This window comes from Homo sapiens, chromosome 6 (genome assembly GCF_000001405.40).
Source record: "Homo sapiens chromosome 6, GRCh38.p14 Primary Assembly".
Classification (NCBI taxonomy): domain Eukaryota; kingdom Metazoa; phylum Chordata; class Mammalia; order Primates; family Hominidae; genus Homo; species Homo sapiens.
Window position 1 is genome coordinate 156,641,615 of NC_000006.12, and position 18,284 is coordinate 156,659,898.

Consider the following 18,284-nt stretch of genomic DNA (forward strand, 5'->3'; position numbering starts at 1 on the left):
TTGGTGCTGGCTTTTGGGAAGAGGTCTGAATTCCTCACCACGTGAGCCTCCCTATCAGGCTGCTTGAGTCTCCTCACAACATGGCAGCTGGCTTCCCCCAGACTGAGTGTTGCAAGAGAGCAAAGCAAAAGTGGCAAAGTCCTAGCCTTAGAAGTCTGCACCATCGGGCCAGGCATGGCAGTTAATGCCTGTAATCCCAGCACTTTGGGAGGCCAAGGTAGGTGGATCACATGAGGTTAGGAGTTCGAGACCAGCCTGGCCAATATGGTGAAACCTCATGTCTAATAAAAATACAAAAATTAGCCAGGCGTGGTGGTGCATGCCTGCAGTCCCAGCTACTCAGGAAACTAAGGCAGGATAATTGTTTGAACCTCAGAGGCAGAGGTTGCAGTGAGCCGAGATCACCACACTGCACTCCAGACTGGGCAACAGAGCAAGACTCCTTCTCAAAAAAAAAAAAGAAAGAAGTCAGCACCATCACTTATCACTCTCACCATACTCTGTTGGTCACACAAACCAACCCAGATGTAGTATGGGAAGGGAGTATACCAGGAGGTGAGGACCACAAGGGCCACCTTGAAGACTGGCTACCATAGTCCACCCTCTGACCCCTAATAATTCACATCCTTCCTACATGCAAAATACACTCGCTCCCTCTAAAGTGTCCCAAAAGTTTCATCTCATCACAGCCTCCATTCAAAGTCTAGAATCTCATCATTTATATCAGGTCCAGGTGCATATGAGGATCCTCAAAGGCCAGTGAAAGTTACCCCAAAGGTATCTGGGGTTTGGGGGTTTTGAGATATTTAATGACAGCAAAAATTATTCATACCATGGTATTAGTCTGGGTCCTTATATGTGTGTGTGTGTGTGTGTGTATGTGTGTGTATGTGTGTGTGTGTGCGCATATAGAGAGAGAAAGAGAGAGACTGACATTGTAAGGAATTGGCTCATGCACTTACGGCAGCTGAAAAGTCCCATGATCTACCATCTGCAGGCTGAAGACATGGGAAATCTGGTGATATAACTCAGACCATATCTGAAGGCCTAAGATCCAGGAGCACCCCTGGTATAAGTCCCAGTCTGAGGGCAGGAGAAGACCAATGTTCCAGCCCAACAGTCAGGCTCAGAGAGCGCATTCTCCCTTACTCCGCCTTTTGCTCTATTCAGGCCTCCAAAGGATTGCATGAAGCCCCCCACACCAGGGAGCGCCATCTGCTTTACTCAGTCTACCCATTCAAGCGTAATCTCATATGAAAACACCCCCACAGACACACTCAGAATAATGTTTAACCAGATACCTGGGCACCTTGTGTCCCAGTCAAGTTGACACATGCAATTAACCATCACGACCATTAAAATAAGATAAAATAAATTAATGTTTAACATATTATCTATCTCACATGTCTCATCCCATTTACTTATATTTTATGTATGTTTCATGATATGCATAATACAACTATGCATAAGTACACTTACATATGTACTATATCTAAAGCACGCATATGTATACATTGTATGTTTACAGTATTCTTTTTAATAGAGGCACAGAATCAAAGGTGTGTATAAGCGTTCAGGCCACGGTAAGATGGCCCTTGGAGAAACAATTTGATTGGGAAATTCTGCATTGGAATTTACAGTATTCTTTTTAATAGAGGCACAGACTCAAAAGAAGTTTGGAGACAACTGGTGTAAAGAGACTGAAAGGTGAAAGAAAATGCTCGTCCATTCCTAGCTGCTATTTTCAGTAATCATTGTCAGGGCTTCTATCTGGTGGTTGGTAAGTAGTATCAAAATATAGTTACCAGCTTGACTGCCTTATGGGAAGTGGCAGAAAATGAGGTGGTTTTTGAGGGGAAGTAAATGTAAAAATCACATCAAGGAAGAAGAGGTGGGAGCTGTGGCAAGCATTTAGCCTCTTCTTGAAGATAAACGGAAGATTTAGAATCAAGGACAAATTTCCCTTTTAAAAAGCCAGTAAATGCATGACCCATTTACAAGACTAGAGCAATAAATATACCTAAGAAAAGTACCTAGGGAAGATTTTAAGGGGGGAAAGTGTATCCTTTCCTATAAAAATTGTGTCTTATTTTTTAAAGGGAGGGCAGTGCAGAGAGATGGTGGAAAGAAGAAAAGAGAGGGAGGACCGAACAAAGGGAGGGAGAGAAGGCGGTAAGGGAGGAAATCAGCAATGTCTCCCACCATTAGCTGCCAGCTCACTACCCAAAATGTTTAATTCTCTTCTCCCTTTGCTGCTTTTTTTCCTTGAAACTTTGCATTTATAGAATCAAAGGTCACAAGAACAATCCCACTGCAGTTCTTCGCCAGTATGGTCGTCCACTGTGGTAGTTCAACCAAACACCATAGTGCCAGTCACCATAGGCCCTCCAAGAATCCTGCTCTTATAAACCCGCTTTCACCTAGTTAGCTCCTGTGGACCAATACGGAATGTCCTAATTGAATTGTTTCTCCAAGGGCCGTCTTACCATGGCCTGAACGCTTACACACACAACTACTTTTACCCATATTTACAGTGTGCACTGTGCCATAAGTAGTGTAAGTTGGTACATGTTATTACCAAAATGTTTGTATAATTTTTAAATGTCTTAGTTAAATTATTAAGAATTACAGTCTAGGCTATAAACAATATCTACCATTTACTGAGCCCTTGTTTTCAGCCAAACACTCTTCATATATGATTTTCCTACATTATGTCATTTCATCCTCACAATAATCGTGTGTGGTAGGTTCGATTACTATTCCCATTTTACAGAGAGAAAACCAAGGCTGAGTTCTCTTACGGCAGAAACTTTCAAAACAAAGTGCCAAACACTGCCCATAAGCTGAACAAAAGTGTTTGACCACTAAAACTGAAAAAAAGGCAGAATTTCCAATGCATAGAAAAACAGACTACTGAATGTAGTTTTAACCATTTAAATTTGTCTCCCATATATTTTTCTTAAACATTTGGTACTTGTACCACTTATCTGCTCTTAAGGAAGGGTTGATAAAGAAGCAAACAAACATGTACTAAGCAATTATTTAAAAAAAAGAACCAATCATGTCACCCTTGATAACCTGATTTTGGGGGAGGATTTCATGCTTGTGATTCTATATTGCACTTATATGGTACAGTCATACCTTCTGCTGGTAAAGTTGTCCCTGACTCACGTGATGTTACTGAACGTGTCTCTGTGTAAGGGGTTTATACTGGAAAGAACATCAAGACTTCTAGTTATACTACCATCTAAACAAGTTTGTGAACAACTGGCCTAGCTCTCTCTAAACATGATTTTACTTATATCATTTCAATAATACACTTTTCAGAAACACATTTATTATGTAAGATGGTATGTGAAAGAAATGCCATCTTCTCTCACTGTGAGTTGAAATTGTTGTTCTTGTAGTTCTTTCCCTGTTCCAAAGCAATAGTGACACCACCCAGGAGGGCCACATCTCTGAAAGCCATGAGCAGAACTCTCTGGGAGAACTCGCACCCTGGGCTCCTGGATGTCATCACCTCTGCTCTGCAGAAGAACAAGGGACATGGCTCCCCAAAGGAGGAGAAAGTGAATGGGAACACCCCGGAGAGGATGCTGGAAACAGAAAGTTAGTTGTGCTGTTGGTGGAGCGAATGGAATGTAAAGAGGCTCCAGGGATGACTAAGTCTAGATTCTAGTTGGAAGTTAAGAAACTGAGCTTCACTTCTGGATAGAGTCAGCTTTCACCATCAATTACATGTCAAGCTCAGTAGCCAGTTCAAGGAAACAGCTCAGGAGGGAGGAGTGGGCCTGAGCGAAAGGAGGCAGGAACCTCCTGAGTAAGGTCAAAGGAGTTGGCAGCAGAGAAGTCCGGGGCTGCACAGAGCCCAAAGGCAGCCTCCAGGAGCTGGGAGATAAGCAGTACTCCCCACACGGTGGAAGTGCAGCCCCCACAAGACCCATCCACTCACTCAGCCTTGGTGCCACCAATAGCCTGGTCCTGGGGCAGTCTCCCCAGGTGGATGGAGACAGCTTGTCTCTTGGAGCCACAGCGCTGACCACTTCCATTCTCGTTGGGCCCTTTGTGTGTGTCAGACTCTACCCTCCCCTCCCATCAGGGCTGATTACAAATCTGTCATCATCCTTTCCATTCTATGCATCCCAGACAACATGCCCACAAGGATACTGGGTGGCTGGGATGGGCATTAGGATGCCTTGACTTAATGAAGCCCACAGAACCACAGTCCACTTCACATCCAAGAACACCTGCCAAAGCAACCTATCTACAAACAGAAATTGACACAGAACAAATGGAGCACAGGGGGCTGAAGGGATGCTAAGCACAAAAGTGGGTCAGATGCAAGTTAGATCAAAAAGAGGAAGGAAGCTTTCCTGGGGAACCTCAGCTCGAACTGGCAGAAGACCATGGATGAGTGTTTGGGGCACCATTCTGGAAGAGAAAGGAAGAGACAGAGGCTGACCCACTCCCAGGCTTCCCTGATCAGGCAGGAGGGCCCTCCCAGGTTGTAAGTAAACTGTATTAAACTATGCTGGAGAAAATATCCGTATACGTCTTTAAAGTGTTCCATGCATATATGCCAATGCCATCATTATTGCACTACTGTTGTAGTGGTGATGACTGATGGAATTCCTCACTTTAAATAAGAATGGCTCACTCATACTGAACAGTTGCCATGGCCACGCACCCTGATAAGTGTAATTTCATTTAATTCACCCATCTGCCCAATGAGGTAGGCACTACTGCCCCTCTTTTATAGGTAAAGAAGTTGATTCTAAGAGAGGTAAATAACTTGCCCTCGCTCAGAATGAGCAGCGAATGATCTGAGCCATTCAGCATAGCCAAGCAGTCCTAGGTAACGCCATGGCCTGGAGGGACAGCCCTGCTTTACAGCACAGCAAAACCAGTAAATGTAAAGATGCCCCCTAATCCCTGAGATAAGGCTACATCATGTGTGTGGAAGCCATTCGAGAAGGCAAGAGTTTAAAACATTTTAGGAAAATCGCCATTCAGAATGATGAAAACAAACTAAAGTTTGACGCTCAAAGAAGTGATGTCAGTGGGCTGGAAAATGTAGTTATGTGGAACACTAACCCCGGATGAGGCTGGATGAATGAAGTGTTACCTTATTAGTAATAGTAATAAGAGAGCAGCACAATGGAGATGAGCAACATTAGTCAAACTGCAATGGCTGGACAAATTGGTGCAGGAGAGAAGGGAGAACCTGAGAAACGTAGAAGTCATTTGTCTCTGGAACAGCTTCACAGAGACGTGGAGGACCCAGGCTACCCCAGCCACTTCCTACCACAGTCACTGACTGCTCAGAATGTGACGCTGGAAGCCAGGTGCACACCTGTAGTCCCAGCTATTCAAGAGGCGAGGTGGGAGGATCGCTGGAGCCCAAGAGTTCGAGGCCAACCCTTAGACAACATAGCGAGACCCCTGTCTGTTAAACAAAAAAAAAAAAAAAAAAAAAAAGGAATGATAAAAAGACCAGAGTGGGGGGTTTTTCCAGGTAATATATTTATTTCTTGCAGCAAACGCTTGGCTCTTCTCCTCTAATTTTGAAACCCCTGACTCTGGGTTCCTCTGTACTTTGGCACTGCCAGCATTAGAAAATATATATGTGCTGCAGCCTTTGTGCACAGTACAAGGCTACAGTAAAAGCAAACTGATTCTCCTTGTCTGGTATATTTATGCTGTGCAGCAGAAAACCAATAAGTGCATGACCTTGTTCCACACACAAATATGTTCTTTTAACAGGCTTCTCCTTTAAGGCAGCAAGTCTGCACTGGCTGGGAGAACAGAATGACTTTTCCTTTTAAGAAACGTGTACGATGGTACATTTTTTTTTTCAGCCATTTTTTTTGTCTTTTATTTTCTCGGTTTCACAAAATATACTCATAAGAGCATATCCCTTTTTTTCACATGATGACGTTAGCAGAACCATCGAACAGAAGGGCTTCCCTCCCAGGGCTGCTGGTTTGGTTTTATCGGGTGCTGGAAGTAGACCCCCGCGACAGAGATTCACACCAATTCAGATTCTTATCAGTTACATTAGAGGCACCATATTTCTGGCTGTATTCCTATCTGACCTCTTGACTGTGTTAGTCACATGGATATATGGATGGACAGAAAGACAAATAATGAGACTCTACAGGTCAATAACTGCTTTCAAACCACTACTATAATTAAGAAAGCACTGGTTTGATTTTTCTGCTCCTACATAACTCTTGTTTGGGGCTGAGCAAAGTTGAAACTGATTTATGCCACAGCACTCCATGAATAAAGCTTTGGAAGTAGAAAAGTGTAGCCACACATGTTGTGTTTAATTTACATGTGTATTAATAAGCACTTTGCTCCATGCAAGAGCCCCTGTGTGCTACACAGGATCGAGTGTACCATCAACAGTCTGTGGTCGACAATCACCAGAAACCTGCTCTGTGCCAAGCACTGTGCTGGGTGCTGCACATTCAAAGACAAGCAGAAAAAGAAAAAGGAGAAGAAACAAAAAAAAGAACCTGCAACTGATGGGGCAGTGCCACACGATCCAGATTCGTGAACACCGTTTGTGAAAATTGCTTCAACATCGTTCTGTGTTTCAAACGGAAAACCACCCCTTCCTCCCTCCACCCATGAATCAGTCAAGAACAAAAGGAAATGATTCTGAATTTTTCCTTTCTTTCCAAGCACCTTGGGAAGAGCCAGGCATAGAGCCAAAAAGAAGAGGGGTTTTACTAAGGAAAAACACCACCCTGTTTGGCTTTGATGGGAAAAAAAAAAAAAAGAAAGAAAGGAAAGAAAGGAGCAACTGCATCGTGTATAGAGGCTTGAATGATGTGTATGAGAAGAGTGTTTTTATGGATAACAGCCATGGGCAAAACAGCAGATCTAATCAAAAGCACTACACACATGGATGTTCCCGGCCTCTGGGAGAAGGGAACTCTTACGAGGCTGAGTTTCTCCATTTTTCTTCTTCAACTCGACACAGAGAGTAGACAGCCTTACTGTGCATAAAATATTCCTCACAGCCTTCCTGTCCTCCATAAGAAAAAAAAAAAAAAAGACTCCATCACTGAGACAAGCCATTAATTCCAAACTAATAAACTACTCTTCCCTCCATCACACAGGTGAGTTGTGGTGTGACTATCCATGCGGTTCCACACATGTGAGCGGCCAGAAATCGCCACAGCTACCCGCCTCTCCCTTCTTCAGAGCCCAGGAACCCAGTCCTGGCTAGGGGAAACAAGGAAGCTAAGAGGAATACTCCCCCTTCTTCTCTCCACTCTCCTCCTCCCCGTGCCCCTCCTGCTCCCCTGTTGGAGAGGCTGACTCTCTGTGAAAGGCCCCCGTAGGGACCAGCAGTGATGGGAGGCAGCAGCTGCTGTCACCCTCCATAGGGGACCATGTTCTCCCAGCTCAGGGGTCTTCACTGAGGTCACCTGCTCAGGTTCCTGTTCTCCCCATCATGGGCCCAGGATGCAGGGCTGCTACGTTTTGGAAAATCTGAACAGTGAACAACAGCCTGAGCAGACAGAAGCTGGGAGGAAGTGACCACAGGAGCCAGGGCCTGGGAGGAGGAGAGAGGCACTCCTAGCATGTGCTGGGAAACAGCACGCCAGACACCAAGGCCAGACAAGACAGTGGGGCACCGAGAACCAGTATTACAGTCTTATCCAGAAGAATTCTGGGTATTGGAAGGCCAGATAAAAGATACCAAATCCACCAGGAAGCTTCTTGACTAGACTTCAAATGGGTGCATTTTGTGCTTTTTTTGTTTTTATTTTGTTTTGAGACAGAGTCCTGCTCTGTCGCCCAGGCTGGAGTGCAATGGTGCGAACTTCGGCTCCACCTCAGGTTCAAGCAATTCTCCTGCCTCAGCCTCCCGAGTTGCTGGGATTACAAGTGCCCGCCACCACTTCTGGCTATTTTTTGAATTTTTAGTAGACACTGGGTTTCAGCATGTTGGCCAGGCTGGTCTTGAACTCCTGACCTCAGGTGATCCGTCTGCCTCGGCCTCCCAAAGTGCTGGGATTACAGGCGTGAGCTGCCGCGCCTGGCTGAAATTGTTGCATTTTGAAACCAGATCCACATTCCACTATTTTCTAAATCACTCTTGACCATCCCCAAATAATCTGACCACGACGGTTGATAGAAAGCTGGGGTCCTGGCTGCATACCAGGCACCTCGCCCGGTGTTTACTGGGATCTCATTCATGGCTCAGGCGGGCTCTGGCCTACTTGTGGTTGCTCCCTCACTTAGAGAGGAAGAGGCAGAGACTCAGGGTAAAAACCCACCCAGGTTTGCCCAGCCAGCATGGACCAGAGCTGGGATCTGCACCCAGCTGATTTGATTCCCGTCTCCACATCCTAACATGCTCATGCCATACTTTTAGAAACAGCCAGAAAAATATGTTTTTGTAATGTGACAACATAGCTAGGTTAAACTACAAGTCTGAGAATTTCCTTACTTGTGTGGTTCTGGCTTAGGTCTGGCCACCGGAGAAATAGATGTGAGATATATGAGGCAGGATCAAACCTGCAGGCTACCACTCAGAGGTCCCACACTAGTGCAATCTGCTGGCTCAGGGGCTGGCCTGGGGCCTCCTCCTCCTGCTGGACCTCCCCCTCCAGCTTCTCCGTGTCCTGAGTCAAGCACCGCACAGCTCCACAGCAAAGGACGCCGGCTACTTCAGGTCACCCATGTCATCCAGGTTGCAGGTGGTGAGAGACAGACACAACTGACCATTTGTCCTTGTGGGTTTAGTTTGTCTTCACAGTTTCCAGTTCGTCCTCAATTTCCTGTGCTTCATTCATGTCTTGCTTTTCTTAATTTCTGGTCCTGCTGACTTAGAATAGACCCCCTGCTATCGAACACAGAGGCTACAGCCTTCCAAGATGTCTTCATCAGCTTCCATGATTGCATACAGCCCAATTGCCATAAGAGATGATCCCAAATGCACATCACTCACGGTGGTTCTGCTTCTCTGATGCACGTGTTGGGGCTGGCAGTGGTTTCTGGGAAACAGAACTTTAAAGATCAATTCTTAGACTTGGAACTGGCTTATCTAGAATTGGTTCACTGATCTGATTAGATGTAAAGGTACTAATCGCCCTGTGACGATAGCCAAGGGACATTGGTAGCCTGTGACATGCAAGGGCAAAATATTCACTAAATTGTAATTTGTAATCAAGTGTCTGAAAGACAAGGCTTTAGGGGACCAAGTAGTTGCTGCTATAATGCTTTTGGTGAAAATAAGGACTCTAATGGAGTTGGTTGCTTTTAAGAGCAGTGCAGAACTTAGCAAAAGAAAATGAAGAGATTGGGGCTTCTAATCCTCAGCTCAAAGTCTGGGGAAAGAACAACACGAAGTTTCCAGGCCTTCCCTAAAGGATCTCTTGTCTTCTGTAGCCAAAATCTCTGAAAAACAATCCTAAATTCAATCCTAAGGACTGCTGAATGACAAAGCACATTGAATTCACAACCTTTCAAAAATCTTATATGTTAAAACCAGGGCATGGATTGGGCCCCTGAAAATGTGAGATCATTTCTGCCAAGCCTTTTTTGTCAGTGGAAATAGTGCTTCTTCCTCATCCAAGCTTCCTTTTTCTGAGGTCTTCCTGTGCCTGAGAAACTTGTCATGGTCTCCACTGAGGTCGCTACCTTGCAGGGGACCAATTCTCCTCTGACCTTACCCAACTGCCTCCCATTGCTTCTAGACCTCCGACCGGGCTCAAGTCCTGGCAGGCCTCAGGAGTAAGGTCACAAAGAGTAACCCACGGGGAGACACCGTACACACCAGAAGGACCAAAAGACCGTGAACTTTATCCACAGTATCCTGGAAAACATGTTTGGGAATGAATCCCCATGATGTTAGATCCAGGTGGAAGGAATATTCCAGATTAAGCCAAATTTGTTGACACATGTATGCCGAGCAGAGACCCTGGATTCAGCGTGTTAATGTGAGCAGTTGAGACTGGCTCTAAACGTCTGTACAGGCCACTTCCTGAAACACAGGAACAAAAGTGGCCTTTACTGACTGACGTTGAAAGGCTGGCACTTCCTCAGCAAACTTTAAAAGACAAGATCCAGAGGCTTAGGAAATCAGAATTGTAGAGTGGACTTATTACTTAAGACCTGTTCGGGCCGGGTATGGTGGCTCATGCCTGTAATCCCAGCACTTTAGGAGGCCGAGGCAGGCGAATCCCTTGAGGTCAGGAGTTCAAGACCAGCCTGGCCAACATGGTGAAACCCTGTCTCTCCTAAAAATACAAAAATTAGCTGGGCATGGTGGTGTACACCTGTAGTCCCAGCTACTCAAGAGGCTGAGGCTGGAGAAACACTTGAACACAGGAGGTTGCAGTGAGCCAAGATTATACCACTGCACTCCAGCCTGGGCAACAGAGCAAGACTCTGCCTCAAAAAAAAAAAAAAAGACCTGTTCACCCATTCCTAACTGTACCTGCCAGAAGAATCCAAGGCTGATATAAATTTACATATCTACCAGAAGATAGAAGAGGGTAGGTTGGCTCTTCTCTGCAGGCCAGGAACAACCGTGGGAACTGCAGTCACTGAATTGGACTGCCAAATTCATGAGGATAGAAATGCCAGGGTGGCAGGCAACCTTATTCACAGACACAAGGCTGGCACCATTACTGTAATGGGCAGCAGAGCCACCGGGGCGATCACAGTGGTTTGACCCACAGAAATCTTTGGTATCTCTAGAACTGAAATAGACATACCACCTGCTGGGTCTGATTAATAGAATTCTGACATGAATCATCCCAACAGAATTGTGACCCCTCAACCAATTTCTAGATTTGAGTCATTAGAAAGCCTCAGAGCCCCTTCAATGAGGGTAGGCTGGTCCCCCCTGACAAAGGTCCCAGTTACATCACTAATGGTTAACTGACGTATCTCCTGAAAGTCGGCCGTGACTCCTGGTTGCCAAAATATTTGCCTGTGGGTGAAAATGCTTGGCACCACTGATGACCCTCACTTTAAACTTCCAACCCTGGAATCCCTGGTTCTTCTGCCTGTTCTGCTGCTCCTCTGACTCTCCTTTGTGGCTTCCTCTTCTTCTTTCTAGGCCCTACATGTGAGAATCTCTGTGTTTCTGTTCTGGTGCCTTTTCTCTTTCCATTTCCTAAATACCTGTATCTCCTCTAGGTAGAAATTCCAAACTTCCCTCTCCAATCCCAACTTTTTCTCTGAGCATCATCCCTCCTTTTCCATTAGCTAAACATCAAACCCCTGGGTGCACTATCACCATCTCTAAACCATCCCATATCATTTTACTTCTGTTTTCCTATCAGTGAGGCTGCCATCTTCCCAATCAGATGTGAAACATCAGACATCCTTGACTCCACCTCTCTCTTCTCTTCCTACATCTAAACAGTCACAGAATATTAGCCATTTGTTTGTACCATGTCTTACCTACCTTTCTATTGCTAGAAACCCAGCCCTAGCTCAAATCATGAAGCACCGGTTCTCTCCAGAGGAACCATAGCAGGCTTCCACTTCTATTCTATCCCCCAACCATCCCCCAACCAGCCTATTCTCAGCATAGGTTCTGTTTTGGTGTGCGTAGTTCCATTATTCAAAAACCCACCATGACTCCTCCTTGCCTGCACAACACAGTCCAAGCTTCAGAATTTAGTATTCTTGCCGTTTATTATCAGTTCATCAACCGACATTTTTCATGACCCATTTTTGCATCCTTTACATAATGGATATTCCAACCAAACTCCACCATTCCCAGAATCTAACCCACAGTTTCCACCTCTACATCTTTATTTACAGCATTCCCTTTATCTTTCATACCTTCCTCCTCTCCACCTGTTCCCTTTATCCATAAATATTATTGAATATCTCCCTTGTGTAAGGTCTTATGAACATCAGGGCATTGTTCTTCCCCTGGGTTGCTCAGAATCCAGCCTGTTGAAATCCTATGAATCCTGCAAGGTTTAGTCTAGGTACCACCACCTTCTTGGACTCCTCTTTGATCTCGGTCAGAGGTGACTGCTGACCATTGCACTCTTGCCCTTGCTCGTGATGTTTTCTCAATGCTAGATGCCAGTCCTTCATCCTCGAAGGTTTTTGTGACAGCTGTTCCTTCTGGCTAGCATGCCCTTACTCCGTGTAGCCAAATTCTTACTTCCTTTAGTCTTTCCTCAAATTCACATCTTCAAAGGCCTTCCCCCACCACCCTATCTAAAATATCCTCCAACCCTTCCCCTGATTCACTTTTCTTCCTTGATGTTATCAGCACACATACAGAAGTGTGTGTGTGTGTGTGTGTGTGTGTGTGTGTGTGTGTGTGTGTAGTTTGTTATTTGTGTGTTGTAGGTCTTCCCCACCAGGCTATAAGCTCCATGAGAACAGGGATGCTATATCCGAGAACTGCCCTTTGGCAACACCAGTCACCTTTCCCTCATCCTCCCTCTTAATTTCACAAAGAACACACAACTCCAAAATTATAGTTTATACATTCTTTGGACCAGATCAAATTCCTAGACAGGGCTTTCTTTCCCCAATAATTATTTCCACAAGCAGAAAGGGAGAGAGAAATGCATTTATCCTCTCCTGTCCAGCTCATTGCTTTTGATTCTGGTTACATCGAAAACAACCACTGCCCTCTCCCCAAGCTTAGCAGACTCTCAAATAAGAACTTCATCAATGTCTCTTGAATGAATTCCCCCTACCCAAGAAACAACCTCTTACGTATCTTTTCCACAGCTTAATATCCTCCCCACAGCCTGAAGTACTGATGGTGCAGACCACTGACCACAGTTTTCTCTTTTAGGGCAGCTGCCTTCAGCAGGGACTACCACAGTTCCTTCTTGCAGAACAGCCGCGGGGCCCAGGAGCTGCAAAAGCAGAGAACACTAAAAGCAGAAACAAAGGTGCTCAGCCCCACTTGTGCCTGGCTTTAAGACAGAGCACCCCTTGGTGTCCCATTAGCTCCAGAAAGAAAAATCACTGGAAGTGGGTCTTTCCTCCTGATGCCCTGGACTCCCAAGACACTTTCTCCTTTCATTTTTCATCTCGCTGGGAGTCAGTATTTTTGTAACCATCGCTGACTGGATATAAGGGCTCTGTGGGGGAGACCCAGTCATCCTAAGTGGCAGAGACAGCTTGTTCCTCCACAATGTATCTTTCTGAGACTGCACATTGGTAGCAAAGGTTGTTTTGTTCATTACTTTTTCCTGGTATGATTGTGAGCACCCTGTGGAAAAGCAAGCCTTGGCTTTTCTTCTGCGATGGCGTGGTCCCCCACTGCAAGATCAGACACAGAAAGGCCTCTCTTTGAGAGGAAGAAGCACCCACACCCTGACAGTACTAGGACACCCAGAGCAAACCCTGTAAAGACCATGGGCTCTGCAAACAAAGCTCTCCAGGAAACAGCCAAGCCAGGACAATTCCCTTTGGTGACCTGCAGTGTTGATCATTTCCAACACCTTTATCTGTGGTCCATCGAGGGTTCTGAGTCATTTATTATTGGCACCTGTGACACAGGGGTCCTCATGGTACACACGTCTGAGCCTTTATTGCGTGTCTTCTGATCAGCCAGATAGGTACCTCGCACATCTCTAATATGAGCTCTGTGTCTAGGACTTAATTATCTAGCCTAGATTCATGTAATTCGCCATAGAATCTGGCAAACTGAAAATTGTCAGTCTAAAGACATTCTGTGCAGCTCCTCTGATGGCCACCTGAAGGTAATAACAGCCTGTCACCTTTAGACAAGCCGCTTGATTTCTCTGGGCCTGGGCTCCCTCACTAATCAAATGAGAGGGCTAGAAGTAGTTGGTGGCTCTGACCCTGGCTGCGTATTAGAATCACCTGGGGAACTTGTAAACTAACTATGGTGCCTGGGCCCCTCCTTCCCAGACTAATTAAGTGAGAATCTGGGGGAGGAGGTGGAGGCCAAAGCCCCAGTATTTTTTAAAAGTTCCCTAGGGAATCCTAATGTGAAGCCAACATTGGGGAACCACCAGATTGGAAGATCCTCAGGTCCCTTAGTGCTCACCTCACTCTGCTCTGCAAGGTGCCCAGGATGTGCCCAGGAGCAGCTGTTGCTGTTTGAGCACGGAGAGGCATTTCTAACAATGGCTTGCCTGGAGAGAAAGAGAGCCACAGCATGGGGGACCCACCCAGTGACATCTTACTGTTCAAAGTAAAAAAGTTCACTTACAATCACAATGGCCTCTGCAGGGGCTTAATGTGTCCATGGAGAACACAGGATCAGGGGTCTTCAGGATTTTTCCAGGAGTTTCATCTCAACAAACAGTGCTCAAAACAGAGACCTGTCAATCTAACAGTATAAGCAGCCCTATCATTTATAGGTGGCCTTGTCCCTCTCTACAAAGGTGTATGTGCTCAGCCTTTGAGGCCCACCTAAATCCCACCTCTCTGTTTCTGCTTTCTGTCCCTACTTTCCCTCATCCATCCATTCATTCATTCAACAAATGTCTATTTCAGTGCCTAATTTATTGAGGCACCGTTCTAGGCACTTGGGATATATTAGTAAACAAAAGCAAAGAAAAAACAAAGGAGAGTAGGCTAAGGCTGATGAGCAGAGCTGGGGGAAACACCAAGGTGTAAACTGCAATAATAAAGAGGTAGTGGGGCTCAACCCCACCGACAAGGTGGTATCGGAGTGAAAACTTGAACCTGCTCCTCTTAATTCTGCTCCACAGTTCCCTTCCACCTGGAATTTTATATGGCTAGCCAGGTGCATTAGCTCACGCCTGCAATCCCAGCACTTTAGGAGGCCAAGGCAGGTGGATCGCTTGAGCTCAGGAGTTTGAGACCAGCCTGGGCAACATGACTAGACCCCATCTCTACAAAAAATACAAAAATTAGACTGGGCATGGTGGCTCACGCCTGTAATCCCAGAACATTGGGAGACCAAGGCAGGCAGATCACTTGAGGTCAGGAGTTCAAGACCAGCCTGGGCCAACATGGTGAAACCCTGTCTCCACCAAAAAATAAAAAAAATAAAAAAATTAGCCAAGCGTGGTGGTGCACACCTGTAGTCCTAGCTACTCAAGAGGCTGAGGTGGGAGAATCACTTGAACCCCGGAGGCAGAGGTTGCAGTAAGTGGAGATTGAGCCACTGTACTCCAGCCTGGGCAACAGAGTAAGACCCTATCTCAAAATATATATATAGATATATACACACACACATATATATATATATACACAAAAATTAGCTGGGTGTTGTGGTGTGAGTCTGTAATTCCAACTACTTGGGAGGTAGAGGCTCAGGCAGGAGGATAGCTTGAGCATGGGAAATGGAGGTTGCAGTAAGCAGAGATCAAAACATTGCACTCCAGCATGGGCAACAGAATGAGACCCTGTCTCAAAAAAAAAAAAAAAAGAATTATCTGTGGCTCCATGTTACTATTTCATGTGTTAGTGACTTCCTCCATGAAATTTTAAGCATCCTAAGGGAAGGAATATGGTTTATACTTTTCTGAACCTGCTCAGCACAGAGCAGATAATATGCACTGAGGGGGAAAAAAAAAAAACACCATTGAGATGGGGAAAGGCAAAAATAAGGCTAAAAGGACTATTTCATCTTATCTGCATTACAATCCATTCCTCCATCATACACACACGCAGAAGGTTTTTGGTTCCATTCTTAGATCAAATGGGCTTAATTCCATAGAATCATAGCATTTTAGACTGGAGGGGGACCCTGCAAATCATCTAATCCATATCTCTCATTTTATAGGCAAGGAGCCTGTGGCCTGAAAGTCTGGGATTCTCCCAAGTAAATGAGTGGCAGGCATTCCCCCAAAGGTCACACTGCTGCTGAATGAGCTGTCACTGCCACTTAGGAGCACCACAGGCTGCAGCACCAGCCAGGGCCACCCCTCACCCACTCAGTGACTCCTTCAAACAGACACTGACCCACAGCGCAAGGCGGATGTGGGGGCAGCTCGAAGCATCGCCACACCTCATGCCCCTGTCTCTGCTGGGCCCTCCATAGCACCGAAGCTCCCTTCCAATTCCCTTCAAATCCAGAAATTTGGCCCAATCAATTTACAGAACAAAGAGTTTTTTCAACATACTGTGTTTTTCTGTAATGAACCTGCCTGCACCTTGGTGTCTCTCTCAGAAAAGACGTAGATGGTAACTATCACTTTAAATGAGCAAGGAATTCATAATAAAACTGAAATCTACAACAGTCTTTTCAACCTTTATTAACCCATGCCCTCTTAAGGTAAGCACAAAATCACCCACTCCTTTAAGGGTCATTAAAGTTGCAGAATAAACCACATGCCACAGCTAAATACAAAACAGTAATAATTTAAAATGCATTTTTATCTTGAAAGATACCTTAACTTAAAAACATGTAATATTACTATGAACACTAAGTCTGCTTCCTTACTTGCTCCTCAGTTCTTTTTTAAGAGGAAATAGATTTTGTTTTTTTTTCCCAAATACAAAATACTGTAATATTCACAGTGCTTTTCTAAAACTACACAGGGTCTTATTAGGTGTTAATGGAAAAAGGCAAAGCTATATTTTAAACTCTGTTGACCTAAAAGTTAAATGATGCCAGAAAACATAAGACTTTTTGGAATGAGTACACAGCTTGGAATCTGGCACCATGTTTTTTAATTCAGATAAAAGGGGCGTTTGGCAGGGACGGCTTTGCCAAGTCTGCATGATTTGACTCTGCAATCACGAGTTCTGAAACCTCAACCTAATTCCCAAGATTACTGAGATCTTGGGGTCTGTCGTCAGCACCATCCCTGACCAGAGCGGACAAAAGTTGAATGGAAACTGAGTACCACGTGTGTAGCCTTGAAAAAAAAAAGGTTTATATGTCTGTGGCGGCCTGCCAGAGGCTTATAATAGAACCTCAAATAATAGCCAAGCAGGGAAATAGGCAGGGGCTTGCAGTTTCATCCCCTGTAGGAAGAAATCATAATATTGTCAACTAGTGAGAAAAATAAAAAATTGGAAATGTTACCGACAAGAATGTTGGGCTGAACTGCAGACTGTATTACACTTTGTTGTCCTTTGTATTCAAAGATAATGTGCCTGACAGTGATTGTTCGCTGAGCCTCAGAATGTGGCTTAAATACCAATGGGAAGCTCCAGAGTCTTTTCCATGCTCCATAAATTGTGCCGTGGTTTGCTGCTGCTGCCTTGTCACTCTTTGTTGCTCTGCTCTTTAGATTCATGGGTAAGCTGAAGCCTTTGGTCCAAAGGGAGGGAGCTCATGCCTTCCTGCCCACGGTGGGATGGTCAACTCATGCCTCTGGTTCGACAAAAGTTGATGCTACAAAGAGGAGCTTGGGAAGCCACTGTTGCTGTAGGAGGAAAGTACCTCCTTCGCCCCCAATAACCCAGGAAACAGCAAGGGTACCAGGAAACCGCTGAGCATCCTAGTGATAAGGGCATTGAGTAGAGAGCATGGACAAGTTCCAACCCCACACCACTGCCCAAATGAAACATTGAGCTCCAGAGAGTCCCCCCACCGCAGCTACCATCTATCAAGCATCTATGCCAGGAGATTTACAAACTGTGAAGTCAATGACTCATCTTATAGCCCTCAGAGAAATGAGGTCAAGGGCACACTGCTGCCCCAAAATTAGAGAGGCAGGCAGGCAGATACAGAGAATCACAAATTACCAGAGCAGAAACCTCTATGGGAACCAGTACCAAGGTGCAAAACCCTGGACTGTAATTGATAAATTGTTGGAGGCTCAGTGTGGACAGGTCTGAGAATTAAAAATTCCAGGATGACCCAGTCACAGGGGGCCCCCACACTTCTGTAAGTTTACCTTTAGGAGCTCCAGCAGCTGCACAGTGAATACTAAAGAAAGAAAACCCTCTTGAGCTTCCAGCAGGGGGAGGAGAAAAGGAACCATTTTGAGATAAAACAGAGCATTCTGTTCTTCTAACAAGACCTGCCCTCAAGAGAAACTGTTTTACCCGAGCCTCACCTGTCGGGTGCTTTTCAGAGCCTAACAGACCTGGAGAAGGGAAATAACCAATCCCAGCCTGCTGTAGCCTTCCACGTGGGGCAAGGGAAAATCCCAACTCCTACTCCCTCATATGAGTTAATATGCAAAGGGCTTTACTGAAGAAATCTAGGTAGACAACATGTAAAAACACTTGGATAATATAGGCATAGAGATGGAAATTCCACGAAGGAATCAAAAAGAAATACTAAAGATCAAAAACACTGTAACAGAGATGAAGAATGCCTTTGACATGCTCACAAGGAGACTGGACATGGCCAAAGAAAAAAATCTCTG

The 18,284-nt window shown here is 45.2% G+C and overlaps 3 annotated features.

Moving 5' to 3' along the window:
- Positions 13,786–14,500: an enhancer, noted in NCBI's record as "OCT4-NANOG-H3K4me1 hESC enhancer chr6:156976534-156977248 (GRCh37/hg19 assembly coordinates)". NCBI's record gives its function as "activates a minimal SCP1, AML or CMV promoter by ChIP-STARR-seq in naive H9 embryonic stem cells {active_cell/tissue: H9 hESC(naive)}" and the evidence as "EXISTENCE:reporter gene assay evidence [ECO:0000049][PMID:30033119]".
- Positions 15,425–15,939: an enhancer, noted in NCBI's record as "H3K4me1 hESC enhancer chr6:156978173-156978687 (GRCh37/hg19 assembly coordinates)". NCBI's record gives its function as "activates a minimal SCP1, AML or CMV promoter by ChIP-STARR-seq in naive H9 embryonic stem cells {active_cell/tissue: H9 hESC(naive)}" and the evidence as "EXISTENCE:reporter gene assay evidence [ECO:0000049][PMID:30033119]".
- Positions 15,940–16,453: an enhancer, noted in NCBI's record as "H3K4me1 hESC enhancer chr6:156978688-156979201 (GRCh37/hg19 assembly coordinates)". NCBI's record gives its function as "activates a minimal SCP1, AML or CMV promoter by ChIP-STARR-seq in naive H9 embryonic stem cells {active_cell/tissue: H9 hESC(naive)}" and the evidence as "EXISTENCE:reporter gene assay evidence [ECO:0000049][PMID:30033119]".